Source organism: Homo sapiens, chromosome X (genome assembly GCF_000001405.40).
Source record: "Homo sapiens chromosome X, GRCh38.p14 Primary Assembly".
In the NCBI taxonomy this organism is placed as follows: Eukaryota; Metazoa; Chordata; class Mammalia; order Primates; family Hominidae; genus Homo; species Homo sapiens.
In genome coordinates, this window is record NC_000023.11 from 149,067,747 (window position 1) to 149,091,504 (window position 23,758).

General features: G+C 43.4%; 1 annotated feature.

The window, feature by feature from the left end:
- Positions 6,640 to 6,799: an enhancer, noted in NCBI's record as "active region_30011". NCBI's record gives its function as "activates an Ori minimal core promoter by ATAC-STARR-seq in GM12878 lymphoblastoid cells {active_cell/tissue: GM12878}" and the evidence as "EXISTENCE:reporter gene assay evidence [ECO:0000049][PMID:35858748]".

A 23,758-nucleotide genomic window follows, 5' to 3' on the forward strand; every position in this document is an offset into this window, starting at 1 on the left:
TAATCTGATTTACTCAAAGTTCACTGATTTTAAATGTTAAATCCATCCAAAAACACCTTACAGAGGCACCTAAAATAATGTTTGACCAAAATATCTGGGAACGTTAGGGCCCAACCACTATAACACGTAAAACTAACCTTCACAAATAGATGTACAGTATATCTGTGGTATTAACATCTCATGGGGAAAGAAAATTGGATTTTTTTTTTAAGTTTGAAAGGCTCCTTGAGTGGAGGGTGTATGGGCAATAATGAAAAAAGAGATTGAGAAACACTGTGCTAGAGTGTGCCTTCAATCATCACAGTTTAGGACAGCCAATCAGCTAAAGAAACCACATAGGTGGACAAGTGGCTTAGCTATTATAACTGGCTAACTAATACTTATTGCCAGCATGTAATGTGCAGATACTATGGTTAGATTTTTACATACATGTGCAGGGAGTATGGGAGTATGGCTAACCACTGTCATGGTTCCAGCTTGCTCTATTTAGCTCCTTCCTCCCCCTCCAGGGGTAGAGGCTCTTACAGGTGTAGGGGCTACCTCTACTACCCAAATTCCCCTTCTTTGAGATCAAGGTGTCATGGGCATTATGGGCTGGTGTCCACTGAGATAATAAGGCAAGGACAGAACAAAGCATGACTGGGCATCTCTCCTGCTGGAGTTCAGAACCCCACCCTTAATGTACAGATAGGGGTGGTGAAGAGGTTATAGGCTCTAGGTGGGAAGTTCATGGGCAAGCAAGACTGTGACTTGTGGGCCCTTTAAGACAACTTCACTGATATCAGATCCCAGGATTTTAGGGCCCACCCCAAAAGCGTTCTCACTTGTGCCTCACTGGGGAGCTGTTAAAATTTCCCATTCCCAGGTCACACACTTAACTAAAGCAGAAGACTTGTGGGTGGGAGTCAGGCATCAGCATTTTGTAACAATCCCCATGTGATTCCACTGTATAGCAAAATTTAACAATCTCTGCCTCATTTTCAACACTGCTCCTAGAGTTATCTTAAAAAAAGAAGTCTAATCACACATTTCTCCCCTGCTTAAAACCCTCCAGTGGTTACCTATTGCACTTGAAGTCCACCTTTTTCATGTGACCTATAAGCCCGTCTCCCCGTTGTTACCTGAGTGCATTCCTCCTCCATTTACTATGCTTTAACCGACCTCTTTTTGTTCCTCAAAGATGCTGAGCTTGTCCTGCCTCAGAGCCCTTGTACCTCAACATTGGAATACTATTCCTAACCCTAACTCTTTTTGTTATTTAGATCTCATCCCAAATCACCTCCCTTAAGATTCCTTCCCTGATTCTTCTAGATGATTTTGTACACAGACAACTTTTATGTAAATGCTGTGATGTGCCACCAAGATTCCCCTTCAGGGACTGAAGAACTTGCCCCAGCTGGTGAGAAAGTTGTCAGTACTTGACTTTGGCTGGAAAGACTGTACCTTTTCAGGTGCAGCCTGCATCCAGTGACTTGCCATTGGTAAGGTTTGTGGGCACAGACACCTTGCTGTAATGTGGGACAACTCTGAAGGTCCATCCCAGCCTCAGCACTCCCCAACAGGTGACAGAAGGCTTGGCTGAGAATACATCACAGCCCAAATTCTCCCTTGTCCAATTCTGCTTCTTCCCCTTCCGTAGCTGTTGATCCCAAGAGCATTTCCCAAAGATATTCTTGTACACTAATTTCCAACTCAGAGTCCAAGGTAACTAAAACTGCAAAGGTTGCTGCCAGGAGTAATCTGAGAAAGGAAACACTAAGACGGCATTCTGGAGCTGGACCACCTGCCAGACAGTTGGCACTGTGGAACCCTTCACTGGAGATAGGTGGCACAGAAATAGCAACAATTTAATTGTTAACAATTTTACCTGTGGGAACTGGGATGTGATGCTTGTGGAAAGAAATTCACTAGCAAGAGTAGAATTGGTTGGCCTGTGTTAAGCATAATTAATGCTTTGGAGAAAGGTAACAAAAGGCTACAAGTGATTATTGTAGAAGGTAAAGAGGTTCTCATATCTTGCATCCAGAGAGCAGAGAAAGCTAAGACCCAGGCTTAAAAATGAATCATCTAAGTAACAAAGCTCCAAAGAAGTTTAAACTCCCAACCACAGACCTGTTAGACCAAAGCCAGGGCCCTGATTGGGAAAGAATGGGACACCAAATCATAGTGTGGTATATCAAACACCTGGTTTGATATACCAGCAATCTGGAATCCTCAGGATTTCTCCCAAACCTTGTGCATATGCAGAAGTGGCCCAGTCTTTCCTAGAAATGCTGTTTCCTTTCCTGACGATGATTCAGAGGCCTCTCCCTTGAAAATGACACACGCATTCTCAGGGTCTGCCTCTGCCTCTTCTTCTGGCAGATAGTCCAATAGGGAGGTTATGTCACAATATAACCTGGCTGGGGGAAATGATGGGCCTGCTAAGGGACTAAAGGAACTTGACCTCAAAGAAGCTGCTGGACCTAGTCAACCTGAACTAACCAGCAGGAGTCAGGAGAATGTGCATGGGACTGAATTCAGAAGGTACTGGATCAAAAGGAAGTCAGAATATTAAACTGGATAAAAGGTATTTATATGAGAGCACCAATAGACACAAGATTTAACACTCTGGCAAGGACCCCGGGAGATGATACGAAAATGCTGCCTAAGATGATGCTTAGAAATATGGAAAAAAACAGTAGTCTGCACCAATTAAGGTAGAAATGCCAGAATTGAGACAGGCAGTAGCAAAAGGAATTAAAGGCCCTGGGAAGTGGGCATGCTACAGTAGCTATCCCATGGAAGTCTGGAATTCCTACTGGATGAATATGTTGTACAGGAGGGCATGGAGGATATATCATTTCCCAAGGCCATTGGGAAAACACAGGAGAGAGGAACACCAGCATCACTATGGTCAGTGGTGGATTTCCCCTGCAGGACAGGGCAGATGGTACTACAGGAGATCATAGAGATGAGTCTACTGATAGCAATAAGAATAGCAATAGAGGGCATATGATAATATTTTACCATCAGAAGCAATGAGTATAATTACTGTAATGAGCAGCAAAATCAGAGTTGCCATGAGGACCTGACCTATAGAGAGCTATGGAGATAGTTAAAAAAACACAGTATCCTTAGGGACAAGCTAGATGGGCAGCCAGCAAGTGTAGCATTCAATCTATACAGTCAGAGGAAATCAAGGACGGGTGAACAAGAGGTTGTGGGCAGTCACACTGACAAAAAGTCAAAATTCCTTGTTTAGTTTCTACACCTGAGCAAATTTTCAGATCTGGAATCCACTGAATGGAGGCTGGGTCCCTGGGAGGAAGGCAAGTATATATGGTAATGATTCCTTTACATGTTCTCAAAAGGGACAAATGGTCATTTACTTGGATAACTGTATAGTTGTGAAAAGAGACTATCCAAACATTTCACAACATACAAGTTTCTACTGATAACTAAGGACTTGAAACATCATGATGACTCTCAATTACAGTAGGGGCATATGAGGACCAGGTAACCAATGTAGCCCTGGCCCAGACCTGGCTCAACAATATGTCCGCAGGATCCATAGACCCAAACGATAATCACTGATTCCTCTAGTTTTCAAACATACAATTGGAATTGACATACTTGGTAGCTGACACATGACCTGAATTAGTTTCTTGGCCTGACAGATAAGAGGTATAATAGTGGATCAGGCCAAACGAAGCCCCTTGTGTCACTTGGGTTTATGGTAATCCGAAATAGGATAATCACAACAAAGACTTCTAGGGTTGAAGAAGAGCAAGGTCATGCCATATATGGTGGAGAATTATATAACTTTTATAAAACAATCTCTGGCATACTACCAGGCACTGATAAAGATGAGGTGTCTGATCATGAGTCATTAAATGACCATGGAGCCAGAGCTGCTCTACATGAGCTGGATGATTTTAGACCCACCAAGTCATAAGGTTAGGTGTACTCAGAAGCAATCCATTGTAAGACCAGCTGATGGAGGAGGGAAAACACAGTTTCTTTCTTAGACTGGCTGAAGAAACAGGAAGCAAGCTGAAGACAGACCATAGCTGCATTGTAGCCCACTGAGGGGTGACCTTAAAAGAAGCAGTGAAGGTAAATCCTCCCAATGGGCAGAGCTTTGGGTGATGCAGTTGTTCATTCACTTTATTTGAAAAGAGATATCCTGAGGTTATAATATGTAAGGCATCACAGGAAATTACCAATAGATTGGTTGGTCAGAGGCCTGCAAATAGAAATATAAGATTGAGGTCAAGGAGGTCTGAGATATGTATGAACTTGCAGAATTGACTACATGGGAACTCTTCCACCTGAGAAGAGTGATACATTTGGCAAGTGCTTCATTTTGACAAGAATAAAACTATGTTCTAGAAATAATCTCAGACAGCACAAGAACATTTGATTTACCTACTGGCATAGGATTACATATAACATCACATCAAACCAAGGAATGTACCTTACAGACAAAGAGGTGCTGAAAAGAGTGCATGACCATGGGATCCACTGGTTATAGCACACCTATACTACTTAGAAGCTGCCATCCTGACAAAATACAGCCTGATGAAGGCACAGCAGAGGTGACAGTTCAAAGGGAGTTACCCTCCAGGATACAGTGTACACTATAAATCAAGACCTTTTTATGGTTTTGTGTCCCCAGTGGGTAAAAAATACATTGAATCGAGATTCAAAGAGTAAAGGCAGGAATGGCCCTTCTTGTAGGATTGGTGTTTACTGTTCACTCTGATCTTTTGGAGAATTTGTGTTTCCTGTCTTCGCAACTCTGGGCTCTATGGGTTTAGAGCTTATAGTTCCTAAAGAGAAAACACTTCTACTAGGGGCACAGGAGGGAGAGATGCTATTGTAGAATAGAACTAGGAAAGACTGAAAAGGTGAACAGGGATTCAGGCACTTCAGAGATAAGATCTCAATCATGCCACCACATAAGCCATCAAGACCAGTCAAAGTACTAACTGAGGAAAAGAAGAATTTGGAGAGGAGACTAGATGAGAGAGATATTGAGTGTCAGTTCTGGCCTCAAAATTAGTTGCAACAACAAGGGCTATAATTTGTCTCATAAACCCTCTTACAAATTTTTCCCCAGGAAAAGAAACTCACCAGAGTTCTGGAGTTGATGCTCCCAGAATTTCTATAAAGAAGGGGGTCCAAGTGGCAGAAGAGATGGACTCTAGTGGTTGTTAAAAATGTACAATCCAAATGTGCCTTCAGGACTGAAGGATTTATTTCCCTAGCTTCCACTGGAGCTGCTGGGCTTATAGTTTTCAGCTGTCAGCTCTCTTTGGAAATTGGCTTTAGCTGAACCTCTCCCAAGTTCATATCACCCTTCCTAAGGGAATTTGCACCCAATGACTGATAAATGTGAGTGTAAAAATGCTTCATCTTTTTGCCATAACGTGGCACAACTCTGAAGGGTTGTCTCAGCTTGGCACCCCCGTTGGAGTCAGGCCTTTGTTGAACAGTGTTACAGTTCAACATTTCCCTCTGCCGATCTTTCTTCCCTTTCTTCTCTACCCTTCCACAGTTGTTGATCCTGAGGTAGCTCTCTAATAAATTTCCTGTATACTAATCTTTGTCTCACAGTCAGCTTTATGGAAAATCCAACGTGCAAAACACACACACACACACACACACCCTTGTAGTAATTCTCTATTATATGACCATTTAATTGCTCCACTAGAGTTACAATACATAAACTTTTCCTATGCATTTTTTGGTTGCCTATTATCTGTTTCTTCTCCTAAACATGCATGCCACACGAGCAGGGGCCGCACATTGTTTATTCACCATGACTGACTGTATCCTTAGTCCCTCCTTTGTACATATATGTAAGGAACATAGTTATGCTACAGACAGGCAGGCATAGGCCGAGGTAAACACACTGCATGACTCAGTGAGATTGGAGTGCAGGCACACAATTCTGTGCATTATATAACCACAGCTATGTAGCCATAATATGGGAAGGCTCATCACCTGGCTCTGAGCCACTATTGTCTGTAGGTGTATAAATGCAGCACTGACACTGTGAAAGAGTTGCTGAATAAAGCCATGTCCCATCTATCTGCTGTCTCTTGAGTGTTCTTCCAGCTCCCTGCCCTCCATCCACCCTCTCCCCTCAGACCTCAACTGGGGCTTGAACCTGACATTTGACATAGTCAGCAGGATAAGGTGAGTGGGCCTTAAGCCCCTGAGGCTCCCGGGTTGGCTATGTGGCTGCAGAATGGGTTGTGGTACCCGGTGGCAGTGGTGCTACTAGGATGGGCCCCAAAGGAAACATGGGAGGTAGTGGAGGGGTCTCCCATGAGTGTGGAGAAAGCACTGAAGGAGCTGGAAGCACATAGCACTGAGAAGAAATGCACCTTCACTGGCAGAGTCGGATGGGTGTTTCTGACTGAACTGTGGGAAGTACATGTTCAGTCCCTGCGGGATGCTGCACAGGTAAGGGACCTTCAAGCACTAGCCACGTGCCTGGGGGCCCAAATACACAGCTTGGAGAAAAACCTGGGGGTAAGGGACATCCAGGCGCAAACAGGGTGCTTAGTGGTCCAGATAAACGGCCTGGAACAGGAGTTAGAGACTGCCGTCAGTGCGACCTTGAGCCTGTCCTCCTGGCCAGAAACTCCTGTTTGGTCTGATGCTGAGGAGGAGGAAGCTCCCTCACTGCGGGCTTACCTCATGATCCATCAGAAGGTAGAATATGAGCAGCCGATGGGGCCTCAGGGACCCCCTACCGTGGTGGAACAGACTTCCTATAGTGCCTATACCCCCACTGAGCTGCGGGAGTTAGGCAAGCAATGTCAGCAGCTTCCGGGGGAGCCCCTCCCTGCTTGGTTACTCTGCCTTTGGGACGAAGGCGCTGACAGCATTTCCTGCTCTGCCTCTGAGATGGAGAAGCTGGTTTCTATTACAACTAACCCCTCCCTTTGTCAGTGGCTGCAGCTGAGCCAACAGTTAGCAAAGGGCAAAATGACCACACTCTGATTGAGTGGCTGATGGGAGCCATACAAACTGTGTGGAACGATGCTGCAGAAATACCAGAAACTGTGAATAAATGGCAATCATATACAGATTTAATGCAGATACTCCAGGAGATGGGTATGTGGCAGGCCATGGTTGATCTGAGTACCCCAGGGCCAGATGATGAATGCTTTACCTCCCACATGAGGGATCTTGTGCTGGGCTCAGCACCCCCAAGTGCTTTTGGCTCTCTGGCCACTGTCCTCACGCTGTATGTGGGATGTCACGTACATGAAGTGACTATGGCAGCCCTCAGGGAGGCAGAAGGCTATTGGCAGGACTGGGGAGTCCACGCCATAAAAAAGGGGAAGATGCTCCCTCCACAGGTAATCACCCCATGAGATAAAAAGGAGCCCCAGCAGGTGACTTGCATGCAGATGTGGATTGATTTAATTTCAGATGGGATTGCTCAAGAGAAAATTGGCAGGCAACCCAATGGAATGCTGTTGGCTCTGTGCAGGCAATTGTCCCCAGAGCAACAATTCCGGAAAATGCCCAAGAGGGGGCAAAACAATGTTGCTCAACCTAATCCCACTGGGACGCTTCAACTCAAGGACTATTTGCAGGCAGGTGAAGATATGGAGACTTTCCTGTTTGATTATGGAACTGACCAAGGTGCCTGGCTCTGGGGGACACCAGATGACCAGAGGCCATATGTAGAGCTGGCAATCCACTGGTCCCCCACGAATGTACAGTGGGTCCTAGCACAGGTAGATACTGGTGCAGACTGCAGTCTTGTTTATGGGAACCTGGGTAAGTTTCCAGGCAGAGCTGCATGTATTAACGGTTATGGGGGCCAGTCAGTGAAGGTAAAACCTGTGTCTCTGCATCTTGGCATTGGTCGCTTGGCGCCCCACCTATACACTACATATGTCTCTCCCATACCTGAATATATTTTGGGGATGGACATTTTGCATGGTCTGAACTTACACCCATGGCTGGAGAATTCAGACTCCAAATCTGTGTAGTAAAGCCGGTACTGCGTGGACATACATCACCGGCCCCAAGTTCTATCACAACACTGACGGGTTACTTCCACTCATCAACACCATTTGCCAGGGGGGCATATGGAGATAACTGAGACTATTAAGAAGTTAAAGGAGGTGCAAATAGTGCATGGCACCCATAGCCCCTACAATTTCCTGGTATGGCCAGTCAGAAAGCCTGATGGGACTTGACAGATGACAGTGGATTATTGGAAACTGAATAAAGTAACACCCCCTCTGCATGCAGCTGTACCTCCCATCATGGATTTGATGCACCGCTTGACAATGGAACTGGGAGAGTACCACTATGTTGTAGACTTGGCTAATGCATTCTTCTCCATTGACATTGCTCCAGAGAGCCAGGAACGGTTTGCCTTCACATGGAAAGAACAATGAACATTCACCATGCTGCCACAGGGTGCCTAGCCCCACCATTTGTCATGGTATTGTTGCCATGGATTTGGCTGCCTGGAAATGTCCAAAAGGGTCCACTTGTTCCATTATATTGATGATATTATGTTAATCTCTGATTCTCTTGCAGATTTAGAAGTGGTGGCACTCTTCTGGCGGCAACATTTAGCAGCATGTGGTTGGGCTGTCAATGAATCCAAGGTCCAAGGGCCTGGATTGTCTACCAAATTCTTGGGAGTTATTTGGTCAGGTAAGACAAAGGCCATACCAGAGGCTGTCATTGATAAAATCCAGGCATACCCCCAACCCGCCATGGTGAGGCAGCTGCAGACTTTTGTGGGCCTCTTGGGGGTATTGGCAGGCATTTGTGCCCCATTTGGCTCAAATGATAAAACCATTATACTGGTTAACAAAAAGGGGGGCTACCTGGGATTGGGATGATGAGGCTGAGACAGGCTTTCTGGCCGCCAAGTGGGCTATTCAGCAAGCACAGGGCTTATGAGTGATAGATCGGGGTGCCCATTCAAACTTGAAATACATGTGACTACAGATGGTTTTGGCTGGGCCTTATGGCAGCACACAAAACATTTTAGAATGCCAGTAGGCTTTTGGTCCCAACTTTGGAAGGGAGCAGAGCTCCAGTATTCATTGATAAAGAGGCAATTAGCTGTTGCATATGCTGCCCTTCAGGCGTGTGAGAGCATGATGGGACGGGCTACAGTTGTCATATGGTTGGCTTACTCAATAGCAGGGTGGGTATGCTCCTGAGTAACGACCCTCCACACTGGGATGACACAAACGCCCACTTTAGCAAAGTGGGGTGCCTACTCGGAACAGTGAAGTACACTGAGTACAAGTCCCTTAGTAGCAGAATTACAAGAGGTCTTGGGGCCTATAGTCCTAATGCAAGATAAGGCCATGGGGCCTGAGGCACCCTAGACCTTGAGCCATCACTGTTTAAGGAAGGGTGCATCCCCCCACCCCCATTCCTGATGGTGCAAGGTATATGGATGAATCCAGCCAGGGCGATGCTGCTGTCTGGACTGCTATTACAGTCCAGCTTAGTCCTGACATTATATAGTTTCATACTGGGTGTGGACAAAGCAGCCAATGGGCTGAACTCAGAGCAGTGTGGATGGTGATCACCAAAGAGGAGACATCTATGATAATCTGCACCAATAGTTGGGCAGTCTATTGAGGCTTAACTTATGGTTGACCACCTGGAAGTTACAGAATTGGCTTGCAGGCCATCAGCCCACTTGGGGCCAAACCATGTGGCAAGACCTTTGGGAAACAGGTCATCAGAAAGATGTAACTATCTATCATGTGTCAGGCCATATGCCTTTGGCCGCCCCCAGTAATGATGAGGCAGATGCCTCGGCCAAGATCCAGTGGTTAGAGTCGGCATGAGATGTGGACTTGCGGCTACACAGGAAACTTGGACATGCGGGGGATAAGCTGATGCAACAGGTCAATTGGTGCTGGGATCTGTCTTTGCCCCAGCAGGACATTTGCAAGGCCTACCAGAAGTGACCAGTGTGTGATCAGGCATACCATAGACAGAGACAACTGCCTAGTGTAACACTACAAGTGGACAGTAGAGTGGATGTCCTTGACCAGATGGCAAATAGATTACATTGGACCACTGCCAAAATTGCAGGGCTACACACATGCACCGACTGCTGTAGACATGGCCACCAGCCTGTTGTTCACCTACCCTTGCAGGGTGGCCAACCAGCAACACACTATTCAAGCCCTGCAACACTTATGTGCCTTATACAGCCATCCCCTGACCACTGAAAGTGATAGGGGAACTCATTTCACTGGACAGCAGGCACAATAGTGGGCACAGCAGATGGTCATACAGTTGGGGTTTCATGTTCCTTATAACTCACAAGCCGCTGGCATGATTGAGTGATATAACAGACTCCTGAAGAACAGGTTACATTTGCATGTTACTCCCCTGTCTTTGCGGGCCTGGAGTTCCAGGCTGGACCTAGTGCTCCAAATCTTGAATGGGCGGCCACAGAAAGGTGGCCCAGCCCCAGTGGAGGCACTGTTACACCAGGCCGGCACCCCTATCCAGCTACAGATACACACAAAGGATGACCTGTTACAACCAGATATGGGGACAAACAGTAATCTGTTGTTGCCTGCCCCAATGCCCCTGAAGGCAGGGGGAGAGAAAACCTGATGCTGGCCATGTACCCTCCAAGCCCCCAATTGCAGATGGTTGGCTATCATAGCCCGCTGTGGGGAGGGCTTGCAGTATGACTTACATGTTACTCTTTGGGTATTTAATGTGTGACCTCCACAACTGACCGTTCTTAGGAGAACGGCCAGGGAAGGGACCCTCCTCCAGGGGACATATATGCTGTCTGTGTGGCCTATCATGAGCTCCCCTGCGACATTGGCATGGGTACAGAACCCAAAAGAACCACGGGGAGCTGAGAAGGTGTGGTACCATTGCCCAGTGCAGAAGCCCTTGGTGGCAGCACTGTTATCCAGAGATAAAAAGTTGACCTGTATTTTGCCTGAGGGACATGATTTACCCCTCTTATTACCTGTGCTTGCTTTGTCGTTTCGGCCATAGGTTGGCATGCTCCAACATCATTGTGGACAGGGCCCACACCTATGGCAAAGTGACCAATGTCTCCAACTGTTGGATCTGCACTGTCCTTCCAGCAGCAGCTGTAGATGGCCTGCCGTGGCATGTACATTCAGCTTCTGTGAAAAACTGGATGAGGCTAGAGACTTGGGGTCTCATGGACAATGGTTGGGATGCAACATGGCAAACTTTGGATAGGGGGCATTGCAAAACCTGCATTGCAAAAAATGCCTGCCCCCTGGCTGACCCATAGCATTCATGATGAATGGGGCTGGCTAATGAGAGAACACATGGTGCCCCCATTGCAGGTACCATAATATATAGATCAACACTGGGGTAAAGTCACTGTGGGATGGTTGCCCACCGTGGCCTGTAAAAACATAACACATGTCACCACACCAAGGCTGTGGTGGAACAAGCTGCCTTACCGAGGCTGAGCCCTGATGGACTTTGTATCCCTGGGAGTTTATGGGTCTGAGGGGACACGGGATGGCCATATCTGCCAGCCAATTGGACTGGATGTTTTACTTGGCGGTGCCCTTATGTGCCTGCCACCGTACTTCCCTCATTGCCTAGGTGCCTGCACAACTGGAAGGTGCTACATTCCTGGTTTTCGCCAGTGTGGTGGGCCCCCTGGTGGCTCTACCCCTTAGCAATAACTATCATTGGAGCAGTTTTCATCACTGTAGAAATGCAGATTACAGCCCTTGCATAACACACAGTTCAGGTCCTGAATTACACCCGAGTTGCCCTCCTTCTATTAATTGATGAGGTTGATCAAACCAGGAAGGTAGTACTGCAAAACTGGATGGCCTTAGACATAGTAACAGCTGACCAAGGTGGCACCTGTGCCCTTACAGGGTCACAATGTTGTACATATATCCCTGACAACCACCAGAACATAATAGCAGCTTTACAAGGGGTGTTACAGGAGATTAAGGTGATTGAGTGCCTTATTGATGACCCCCTACAGAGATGGTGGGCGTCTCTGGGCTCTAACCTACATTGGGCCCTAATAATAATGGGTAGTTATAGCAGGAATATTAGTGATAGGCTGTTGCTCCCTGTATTGTTGCTGTGGCCTATGGGTTCAGGGTGCCATCATATGTGCACAGGTCCCCACTAAGAGGACTCCCCCGGCCTAGGGGATGGATTGTAAGGAACATGGCTGTACTGCAGCCAGGCAGGCATAGGCCGAGGTAAACATCCTGCATGACTCAGTGGGATTGGAGTGCAGGTGCACAATTCCATGCATTATATAACCACAGCTATGTAGCCATAACATGGGAAGGCTCATCACCTGGCTCTGAGCCACTATTGTCTGTGAGGTGTATAAATGCAGGACTGACACTGTGAAAGAGCTGCTGAATAAAGCCATGTCCCATCTACCTGCTGTCTCTTGAGTGTTCTTCCAACTCCCTGTTCCCCGTCCACTCAGTCCCTTGGGACCTCGGCTGGGGCTTGAAGATGACAATATAGTTCCTCAATACTTTTTAAAAGAATAAATGAACATATGAATGATGAAAGACAAATAACACTATTTTAGAGGTCTGAGGTATGTCTCTTGCTTGTTTCTAGGGGCTCCTCAGCATTGATTTGGCTGAGGAAATGACAGATGCGAGATAGAAAAAGGGGAGTACCAGCCAGGCTTAATGAGAGACTGATAGCTTCCTCCACCCACTTCTACCAGCACCGTGAGCAGAACAAAGTCAGAGTTTATGACTTAAAATTAGGCCTCAGGAATGCAGGAAGGTATCCAAGTCCCTTGAAGAGCAGGAAATCTGGAACAGCCTGTGTGCTGGTTATTATCCATTAGCCACATCTCCATCTATACTCCACTCCAGAAAATTGATCTCTATGAACTTCAGACACAGGTTCTTTGATTACGGCTAACAGATGGGTGGCTAGTTAGGCAACTGGAGAGAACAATATTGGCATTTTTATGACAAGGTTTGGAGAGGTATGTGCCCATCTCAGAATGGGCACAGGGTGTTAAAATAAATGTGTCTTAGGCAAAATCCAAGAGAGCCAAAAAACTGAGTGCCCAAAGTGTGAGACAGGGAAAGCCCACCCCTGAACACACATCCTCCCTGGGGAACCTGAAAATCCAGATCATGGGAGAAGGATTTAACCTTACCTAGAGCTGAAACAAATTTAGAGAGCTGAGAGAAATATAAAAGTAGAAGAAGCAGCAGGAAGAGCCCTGCAGGCATTCCCAGACCTGAGCGAAGCCAATGAAACCCATTTCTGACTTTATCTCACAGGGATCCTTTGGGAGGCTTCCAGTGGAATTGGGGAAAGACCACAGGGAGAAGGAAACTTCCAGTTGAACTTTATAATAATTTTGACTGGGCGTGAATTTTCCAGGGCAGAATCCGGGGGTTCAGGGCGAATTGGAAGTGCAGGTATGAGCACAGAAGCCATGCCATGGAGGGAGTGAAGCCTGAAAGTCCTGTGGGGAGGCTTATAGCCTGGGGCAAATTCCCAGCCCTGCTCACCAGCTACCTGGATATAAACTCAGTGCTGTTGGGGTAGCACCACAGAAGTGAGATTGGCCTTTCTGGCTGTATGGGAGCTGGGTGAGGCCTGTCACTGCTAGCTTTCCCTCACTTCCCTGGTGGCCTGTATGAGGCAGCAGAGGCAGTCATAATACCCCCGGGAATGTAACTTTATTGGCCTGAGAAACACACCCCATCCCCCACAGCACCTGCAGAAAGCCCAAGGAGACTCTGAGCTCAGGCAGGTCTAACCCTGCCCCTACCTGATTGTCTTTCTCTACCAACCCTGGTAGCCAAAGACAAAAGACATAATCTCAAAAGATGTAAGCTCTATGGCCCCACCCACTGCCTGAGAAACCCAGTATTTATCCAGGAGACCCTAGGGCAAGCTTGTATCCTCCCCATACTATCATAGCTGATGCTCTCTTGAAATCGCCACCTCCTGGCTGGAGGCCAACCAACACTAACCATTACAGCAGCTCATAAAACAACAATCCTGCCCCAAGAAAGGAGAAAACAACAGCTAACCTCAACACCTGTAACATCCTGGCTAGCCAGAGGTCCTGAGTCTGTCCACACGACAACTTTACTGCCAGGACAACCAGCATTTGAGAAAACCAGCACACGAAACAAAACTACAACCAAGGTCCCACGCAAAGTCCACTTCACTCCCCTGCCACCTCCACCGGAGCAGGTGCTGGTATCCACAGCTGAGAGACCTGAAGATGGATCATATCACAGGAGTCTTTGCAGACACTTCTCAGTACCAGCCTGGGGCCCAGGATCTCCACTGGGTGGCTAGACCCAGAAGAGAAATAACAATCACTGCATTCTGGCTCTCTGGAAGCCCCATCCCTAGCGGAAGGGGGAGAGCACTAGGTCAAGTGAGCATCCTCGGGATAAAAGAATCTGAACAGCAGCACTTGAACCTCAGATCTTTCCTCTGACATAGTGTACTCAAATGAGAAGAAACTAGAAAAATAATTCAGTAATATGAAAAAACAGGGTTATTTAACACTCCCCAAAGATCACACTAGCTTACCAGCAATGGATACAAACCTAGAAGAAATCTCTGAATTGCCAGAAAAATAATTCAGAAGGTTGATTATTAAGCTACTCACAGAGGCACTGGAGAAAGGTGAACACCAACTTAAATACATTTTTAAAATATTACAGGATAGGTTGGAGAAATCTCCAGAGAAATAGATAGCATAAATAAAAAAAAAATCACAACTTCTGGAAATAAAAACACACTTATATAAATGCAATATACACTGAAAAGTTGACAATAGAATTGAACAAGTAGGAAAAAGAACTTCAGATCTCAAAGACAAGGCTTTCAAATTAACCCAATCTGACAATGAAAAGAAAAAAGAATTAAAAAAAAAAATGAACAAAGTCTCCAAGAAATTTGGGATTATGTTAAATGACCAAAGCTAAGATTAATTGGTGTTCTCGAGGAAGAAGAGAAATCTAAAAGTTTGGAAAACTTATTTTAGGGAATAATTTAGGAAAACTTCCCTGGCCTTGCTAGAGATTTAGACATCCACATATAAGAAGCTCAAAGAGTACCCAGGTTATCTAAAGTCAAGATGAAGGAAAGAATCTTAAGAGCTGTGATGCAAAAGCATCAGGTAAGCTATAAAGGAAAATCTATCAGATTAACAGCAGATTTATCAGCAGAAGCCCTACAAGCTAGAAGGGATTGGGGTCCTATCTTTAGCCTCCTTAAACAAAACAACCATCAGCCAAGAATTTTGTATCCAACAAAACTAAGCTTCATAAATAAAAGAAAAATACGGTCTTTTCCAGGCAAGCAAATGCTAGGAGAATTTGCCACTACCAAGCCAGAACTATAAGAACTGCTAAAAGGAGCTCTAAATCTTGAAACAAAACCTTGAAATTCGCCTTGAAATTAGAGCATAAATCTTACGGAACCTATAAAATAATAACACAATTAAAAAACAAAAGTATTCAGGCAACAATTAGCATAATGAATAGAATAGTGCCTCACATCTCAATACTAATGCTGAATGCAAATGACCTAAATGCACCACTTAAAATATACGGAATGGCAGAATGGATAATAATTCACCAACCAAGTGTCTACTGTCTTCAAGAGACTCACTTAATACATAAGCACTCACATAAAGTAAAGAGGTGGAAAAAGATATTCCATGCAAATAGACACCACAACCTAGCAGGAGTAGCTATACATATATTTGACAAAACAGACTTTAAAGCAATAACAATTAAAAAGACAAAGAGGGACATTATATAATGATAAAAGGATTAGTCCAACAGGAAAATATCACAGTCCTACATATCTATGCACCTAACACTGGAGCTCCCAAATTTATAAACAATTACTACTAAACCGAAGAAATGAGATAAACAGCAACACAATAATAGTGGGGAACTTTAATACTCCACTGACAGCCTAGACAGGTCATCAAGACAGAAAGTCAACAAAGAAAGAATATAAACTATACCCTAAAACAAATGGACTTAACATATATGTACAGATCATTCCACCCAACAACTGAAGAATGTACATTCTTTTTTTCATCAGCACATAAAACGTTCTTCAAGATAGACCATGTGATAGGCCACAAAACAAGTCTCAATACATTCAAGAAAAATAAAATTATATCAAGTACTCTGTCAGACCACAGACCAGAGCAGAAGTGAATGAAATTGAAACAAAAAAATACCAAAAGATAAATGAAACAAAAAGTTAGTTCTTTGAATAAACAAAATTGATAGACCATTAACAAGATTAATCAATAAGAGAGAAAATCCAAATAAACTCAATTAGAAACAAAATGGGAGATATTACAACTGCTACCACGGAAATAAAAAAGATAATTCAAGGCTACTATGAACACCTTTACACACACAAACTAGAAAAGTTAGAGGAAATGGATAAATTCCTGGAAATATACAGCTCTTCTAGATTAAAACAGGAAGCCATAGAAACTCTGAACAAATACAAAGCAGCAAGATTAAAATGGAAATTTAAAAATTGCCAACAAAAAAGTTCATAACCAGATGGATTCACACCTGAATTCTATCGGATATTCAAAGAAGAATTGTTACCAATCCTGTTGACACCATTCCAAAAGATAGAGAAAGAGGGAATTCTCACTTAATTATTCTATGAAGCCAGTATTATCCTAATACCAAAACCAGGAAAGGACATAACAAAAAAAAAGGAAACTACAGACCAATGTCCCTGATGAACACTGATGCAAAAATCCTCAACAAAATACTAGCTAACCAAATCCAACAGCATATCAAAAAGATAATATACCATGATCAAGTGGGTTTTATACCAGGAATACAGTAATGGTTTAACATACACAAGTCAATAAATGTGATACACCACATAAACAGAATTAAAAACAAAAATCCCACGATCATCTCAACAGATGCAGAAAAAGCATTTGACAAAATCCAGCATCTCTTTATGATTAAAACCCTCAGCAAAATCGGCATAGAAGGGACATATCTTATGGTAATAAAAGCCATCTATGAAAAACCCACAGCCGAAATTATACTGAATGGGGAAAAGTTGAAAGCATTGCCCCTGAGAACTGGAACAAGACAAGGATGCCCACTTTCACCACTTCTATTCAACATACTCCTGGAAGTCCTAGCCAGTACAATCAGACAAGAAAAAGAAATAAAGTGTATCCAAATTAGCAAGAAGAAACCAAACAGTTGCTGTTCATCAATAATATGATCAAATACCTAGAAAACACTAAAGACTCATCCAAAAAAGCTCCTAGAACTGATCAATGAATTCAGTAAAGTTTCAAAATACAAAATCGATATACACAAATCAGAAGCACTGCTATACACCTACAGCGACCCAGCTGAGAATCCAATTAAGAACTCAATCTCTTTTATAATAGCTGCAAAAATAGTAAAATACTTGGGAATATACCTAACCGAAGAGGTGAAAGACCTCTACAAGGAAAAGTACAAAACACTGCTGAAAGAAACAATAGATGACACAAACAAATGGAAACACTTCCCAATATCATGGATGGGTAGAATCAATATTGTGAAAATGACCATACTGCCAAAAGCAATCTACAAATTCAATGCAGTTCCCATCAAAATACCATTACCATTCTCAGAACTAGAAAAAAAAATCCTGAAATTCATATAAAAAATGCCTGCATAGCCAAAGCAAGACTAAGCAAAAAGAACAAATCTGGAGGCATCACGTTACCTGACTTCAAACCATACTACAAGGTCCTCATCTCTCACCTTATACAAAAATCAACTCAAGATGGATCAAAGACTGAAATCTAAGACCTGAAACCCTAAAGATTCTAGAAAATAGCATCGGAAAAAGCTCTTCTAGCCATTGGCCTAGGCAAAGGCTTCATGACCAAGAACCCAAAACCAAATGCAACAGAAACAAAGATAAATAGATGGGACTTAATTAAACTCAAAAGCCTTTGCACAGCAAAAGAAATAATCAGCAGAGTTAACAGACAACCCGCAGAGTAGGAGAAAATCTTTGCAAACTATGCATCTGACAAAGGGCTAATATCCAGAATCTATGAGGAACTCAAACAAATCAGTAAGAGAAAAAACCAAACAGTCCTATCAAAATTGGGATAAGGAAATGAATAGACACTTTCCAAAAGAAGACATACACATGGCCAACAAACATATGGAAAAACATATGAAAAAATGCTCAACATCACTAATGATGGGGAAATGCAAATCAAAACCACAATACGATGCCACCTTTTCCTACAAGAATGGCCATAATAAAAAAAATTAAAAAAAAAAGAGAGATGCTGGTGGAGATGTGGTGAAAAGGGAACACTTTTATACTGCTGGTGGGAATGTAAACTGGTACAATCAATATGGAAAACACTGTGGAGATTCCTTAAAGAACTAAAAGTAGATCTATGATTTGATCCAACAATCCCACTTCTGGGTATCTACCCAAAGAAAAATAAGTCATTACACAAAAAAGATACATGCACATAGATGTTTATAGCAGCACAATTCACAATTGCAAAAATATGGAAGCAGCCCAAATGCCCACCAATCAACAAGTGGATGAAGAAATGCTGGTATATACATACCATAGAATACTACTCAGCCATAAAAAGGAATGAAATTATGGTACTTATACATGTAACCAAACATCACTTGTTCCCCAAGACCTATTGAAATTATACACACACACACACACACACACACACACACACACACACATATATATGTCTTACACGTGTTCTTGCCAAAGAGACTTGCCACTCCAGAGGAGGCCCCTGATAACCTGGTAGGCAAGATGAGACTTTCCCCAGCTACATCAATATTTGTTCAATAAGCTTGTGTACAAAGTGGCCACAGTGGCATGGATGAAGGCTATGAATGGGCTCCATAACATGGCCTTCTGCTCACCAGGCTTGACTTGGATACTGTCACTACAGGGTGACAAGCCTGTCAACAGAAGAGGCCAATGCTGATCTCCAACATGGTACCTCTCACTTGGAATGCTGATGTGTCCAGAGTTCGTTCCTTCCGGTGGGTTCTTGGTCTTGCTGACTTCAAGAATGAAGCCACAGGTCTTCGTAGTGTGTGTTATAACTCTTAAAGGTGGCACAGACCCAAACAGTGAGCAGCAGCAAGATTTACTGTGAAGAGCAAAAAAACAAAGCTTCCACAGCCTGGAAGGGGACCCGAGCAGGTTGCCAGTGTTTATTCCCTTATTTGTCGCCACCCACGTCCTGCTGATTGGTCCATTTTACAGAGCTCTGATTGGTCCACTTTACAAACCTCTAGCTAGCCACAGAGCACTGATTGGTGTGTTTTTACAGAGCACTGATTGGCGCATTTTACAAACCTCTAGCTAGCCACAGAGTGCTGATTGGTGCATTTTAAAATCCTCTTGTAAGACAGAAAAGTTCTCTGGGTCCCCACTCGATGCAGATGTCCAGCTGGCTTCGCCTCTCACTGAGCTAATCACCTCATGTCAGGTTTGTTCTGTACCATCATGAAGGAAGCAGAAATTCGTCTTTGTGGGAACAAATATTTTTCTGAGCACTGATTTGCCTTTCAAATCCACAGCACTTCTTCCACTCCTACCATTTATGGATTTAGGGAATATTTTATTCTCCACCTTGTTATCACCCACAACATTGCCTCTTTTGACCAGAGAATTAATTTTGCAGCAAAAGTGGAGTCATTGTATTTTTCCTGTGGAATTCACTAGTGTTAACATGTGTCCCCTCACTCAGAGGCCTAATAGAAGATGAGACGGCCTACTGGAGACTCAGTGATAATGCCAGCAGGGAGATAACACTCTGCAAAATTGAGGTGCTGATCTATAGGATGCAGTATATGTTTTAAAACAGCATATAAACAGAACCAAAGACAAAAACCACATGATTATCTCAATAGATACAGAAAAGGCCTTTGACAAAGTTCAACAGCCCTTCATGCTAAAAACTCTAAATAAATTCAGTATCGATGGGACATATCTCAAAATAATAAGTGCTATTTATGACAAACCCACAGCCAATATCATACTGAATGGGCAAAAACTGGAAGCATTCCCTTTGAAAACTGGCACAAGACAGGGATGCCCTCTCTCACAAATCCTATTCAACATAGTGTTGGAAGTTCTGGCCAGGGCAATCGGGCAGGAAAAAGAAATAAAGGGTATTCAATTAGGAAAAGAGGAAGTCAAATTGTCCCTATTTGCAGATGACATGATTGTATATTTAGAAAACCCCATCATCTCAGCCCCAAATCTCCTTAAGCTGATAAGCAACTTCAGCAAAGTCTCAGGATACAAAATCAATGTGCAAAAATCACAAGCATTCTTATACACCAATAACAGACAAACAGAGAGCCAAATCATGAGTGAACTCCCATTCACAATTGCTTCAAAGAGAGTAAAATACCTAGGAATCCGACTTACAAGGGATGTGAAGGACCTCTTCAAGGAGAACTACAAGCCACTGCTCAACGAAATAAAAGAAGACACAAACAAATGGAAGAACATTCCATGCTCATGGATAGGAAGAATCAATATCATGAAAATGGCCATACTGCCCAAGGTAATTTATAGATTCAATGCCATCCCCATCAAGCTACCAATGACTTTCTTCTCAGAATTGCAAAAAACTACTTTAAAGTTCATATGGAACCAAAAAAGAGCCCGCGTTTCCAAGACAATCCTAAGCCAAAAGAACAAAACTGGAGGCATCATGCTACCTGACTTCGAACTATACTAAAAGGCTACAGTAACCAAAACAGCATGGTACTGGTACCAAAACAGGATATAGACCAATGGAACAGAACAGAACCCTCAGAAGTAATACCGCACATCTACAACCATCTGATCTTTGACAAACCTGACAAAAACAAGAAATGAGGAAAGGATTCCCTATTTAATAAATGGTGCTGGGAAAACTGGCTAGACATAGAAAGCTGAAACTGGATCCCTTCCTTTCACCTTATACAAAAATTAATTCAAGATGGATTGAAGACTTAAATGTTGGACCTAAACCATAAAAACCCTAGAAGAAAACCTAGGCAATACCATTCAGGACATAGGCATGGGCAAGGACTTCATGTCTAAAACACCAAAAGCAATGGCTACAAAAGCCAAAATTGACAAATGGGATCTAATTCAACTAAAGAGCTTCTTCACAGCAAAAGAAACTACCATCAGAGAGAACAGGCAACCTAGAGAATGGGAAAAATTTTTTGCAATCTACTCATCTGACAAAGGGCTAATATCCAGAATCTACAAAGAACCCAAACAAATTTACAAGAAAAAAACAAACAACCCCATCAAAAAGTGGGCAAAGGATATGAACAGACACTTCTCAAAAGATGACATTTATACAGCCAACAGACACATGAAAAAATGCTCATCATCACTGGCCATCAGATAAATGCAAATCAAAACCACTATGAGATACCATCTCACACCAGTTAGAATGGCGATCATTAAAAAGTCAGGAAATAACAGGTGCTGGAGAGGATGTGGAGAAATAGGAACACTTTTACACTGTTGCTGGGACTGTAAACTAGTTCAACCATTGTGGAAGACAGTGTGGCAATTCCTCAGGGATCTAGAACTAGAAATACCATTTGACCCAGCCATCCCATTACTGGGTATATACCCAAAGGATTATAAATCATGCTGCTATAAAGACACATGTGCACGTATGTTTATTGTGGCACTATTCACAATAGCAAAGACCTGGAACCAACCCAAATGTCCAACAATGATAGACTGGATTAAGAAAATGTGGCACATATACACCATGGAATACTATGCAGCCATAAAAAAGGATGAGTTTCTGTCCTTTTTAGGGACATGGATGAAGCTGGAAACCATCATTCTCAGCAAACTATTGCAAGGACAAAAAGCCAAACACTGCATGTTCTCACTCATAGGTGGGAATTGAACAATGAGAACACTGACACAGGAAGGGGAACATCACACACCAGGGCCTGTCGTGGGGTTTGGGGAGCGGGGAGGGATAGCATTTGGAGATATACCTAATGTAAATGACGAGTTAATGGGTGCAGCACACCAACATGGCACATGTATGCATATGTAACAAACCTGCATGTTGTGCACATGAACTTAAAGTATAATAAAACTTAAAGAACTTAAAGTATAATAAAAAATAAATAAATAAATAAATAAAGCATTAGTCAAGATACGGTGATTTTCCATAGCCAGAATACACAGGTCTGGGAACCAAAGGGAATAAATAAAAATGACCTCAATCACTATTATACATTACATAAGTGTGCTTCCTCTCTCTCAAGCCTTCAGGTTAATGGGTTTGGAAGTGCCAGTACCCAAGGGAAGAATATTTCCACCAGAAAATAGTGGTAATGGTTCTCATTGTCAGGAGATTAGCTGAGTTGGGAGAGCCAGCTGAGCTGCCAGGTGTCATTGTAGCCAATTAAAGTAACAAGTTACAAATGAGTTAAGCCTCTAATCACTTACTAAGATGGTATTAGCAAGAGTCTAAACCAGAGTGCCAACTCCTTATTTTATTTCCTCCTATGGAATGGCACACAAGTTGAGGGTCCAGTGGATCAGTGCAGATGTGGGAGTCATCTCACTATTGAAGGAGCCCTAAATAAAAGGCTCCAGTAGTTTTATGGGCCCTGGAATGGGGAATGGGAGAAAGAAGAGAGCTCAGAGTGAAAAAGTACTAGGTCCTGAGTCAGGGTGTGAAGTGTCTTCAAGGTTTTCCCCTCTTCCTCCTATAAGAAGGTCTCAGCAGAGATGCCTGAGAAAGGCCTCTGCCCAAGGCCTCAGATAGAGAGTCCGGGAGTTAAGCTGTCCAGGCTAGGAAAATAAATACGTAAAGATCATGACTGGCTAGAAGGATCTAAGGCCTTGACTTCAACTCTGTTTCTGTGCACCAAGTCTACAGTGAACAGGGAAGATTTTTATCTGCCAAGTAAACTCTTTGTAATCACCTATGGTCAGGCCTGAAATATCACACGTAGGTTTTTAAGCAAGAGCTGATGAATTAGAAGTTGACACTGCCTGCTGATCATTTCAGGTTCCCCAACATGCTGAACCAAGAGGTAGAGAAACAGATGACCATACTGGGTGGGGTGATTGATCCTGATTGCCAAGATAAAATTGAGTTACTGTTACACACTAGCAGCCAGGAGGACTGAAAATGGACCCAGGTGATTCACTGAGGTCCTTCTAGCATTCCCATTGTCAATAACAAAAGTTAATATAAGACTGAGGCAATTCAATAAGAGTGAACCATTAAGGACTTAGACCCCTGTAGGAATGAAGCTTTGGGTCATCATGCCATGTAAAAATCCTTGCAGATATCAGAGAGTAGAAAGAAGGTGGAATGGGTACGTAAACAAGGCAGATACGATTTATCAATAGAGGCCTGATGATCAGCTACACAAAAGGGAACTATGGTAGCCATGTGTTTTGTATGAATTATTTCCCTCCCTTCATCCTGGTTCATTACAGGAAGAGTATCAGGTCCCCTTAATATTTCTAACTTCGTGAAGTGTGTTCTAGGCAGGAATATGAATAAAGATATATGAACTTGTGATACATTGGCTAATGGGTCTTTGTTTTGAGGATAGGAGTTTCTTCATCTAGGCAAAAGATGAGACTAGGTGCTTCAAGGCAAAGTGGGCATGTAGGGTTTATTTCCAATTTTCCCACA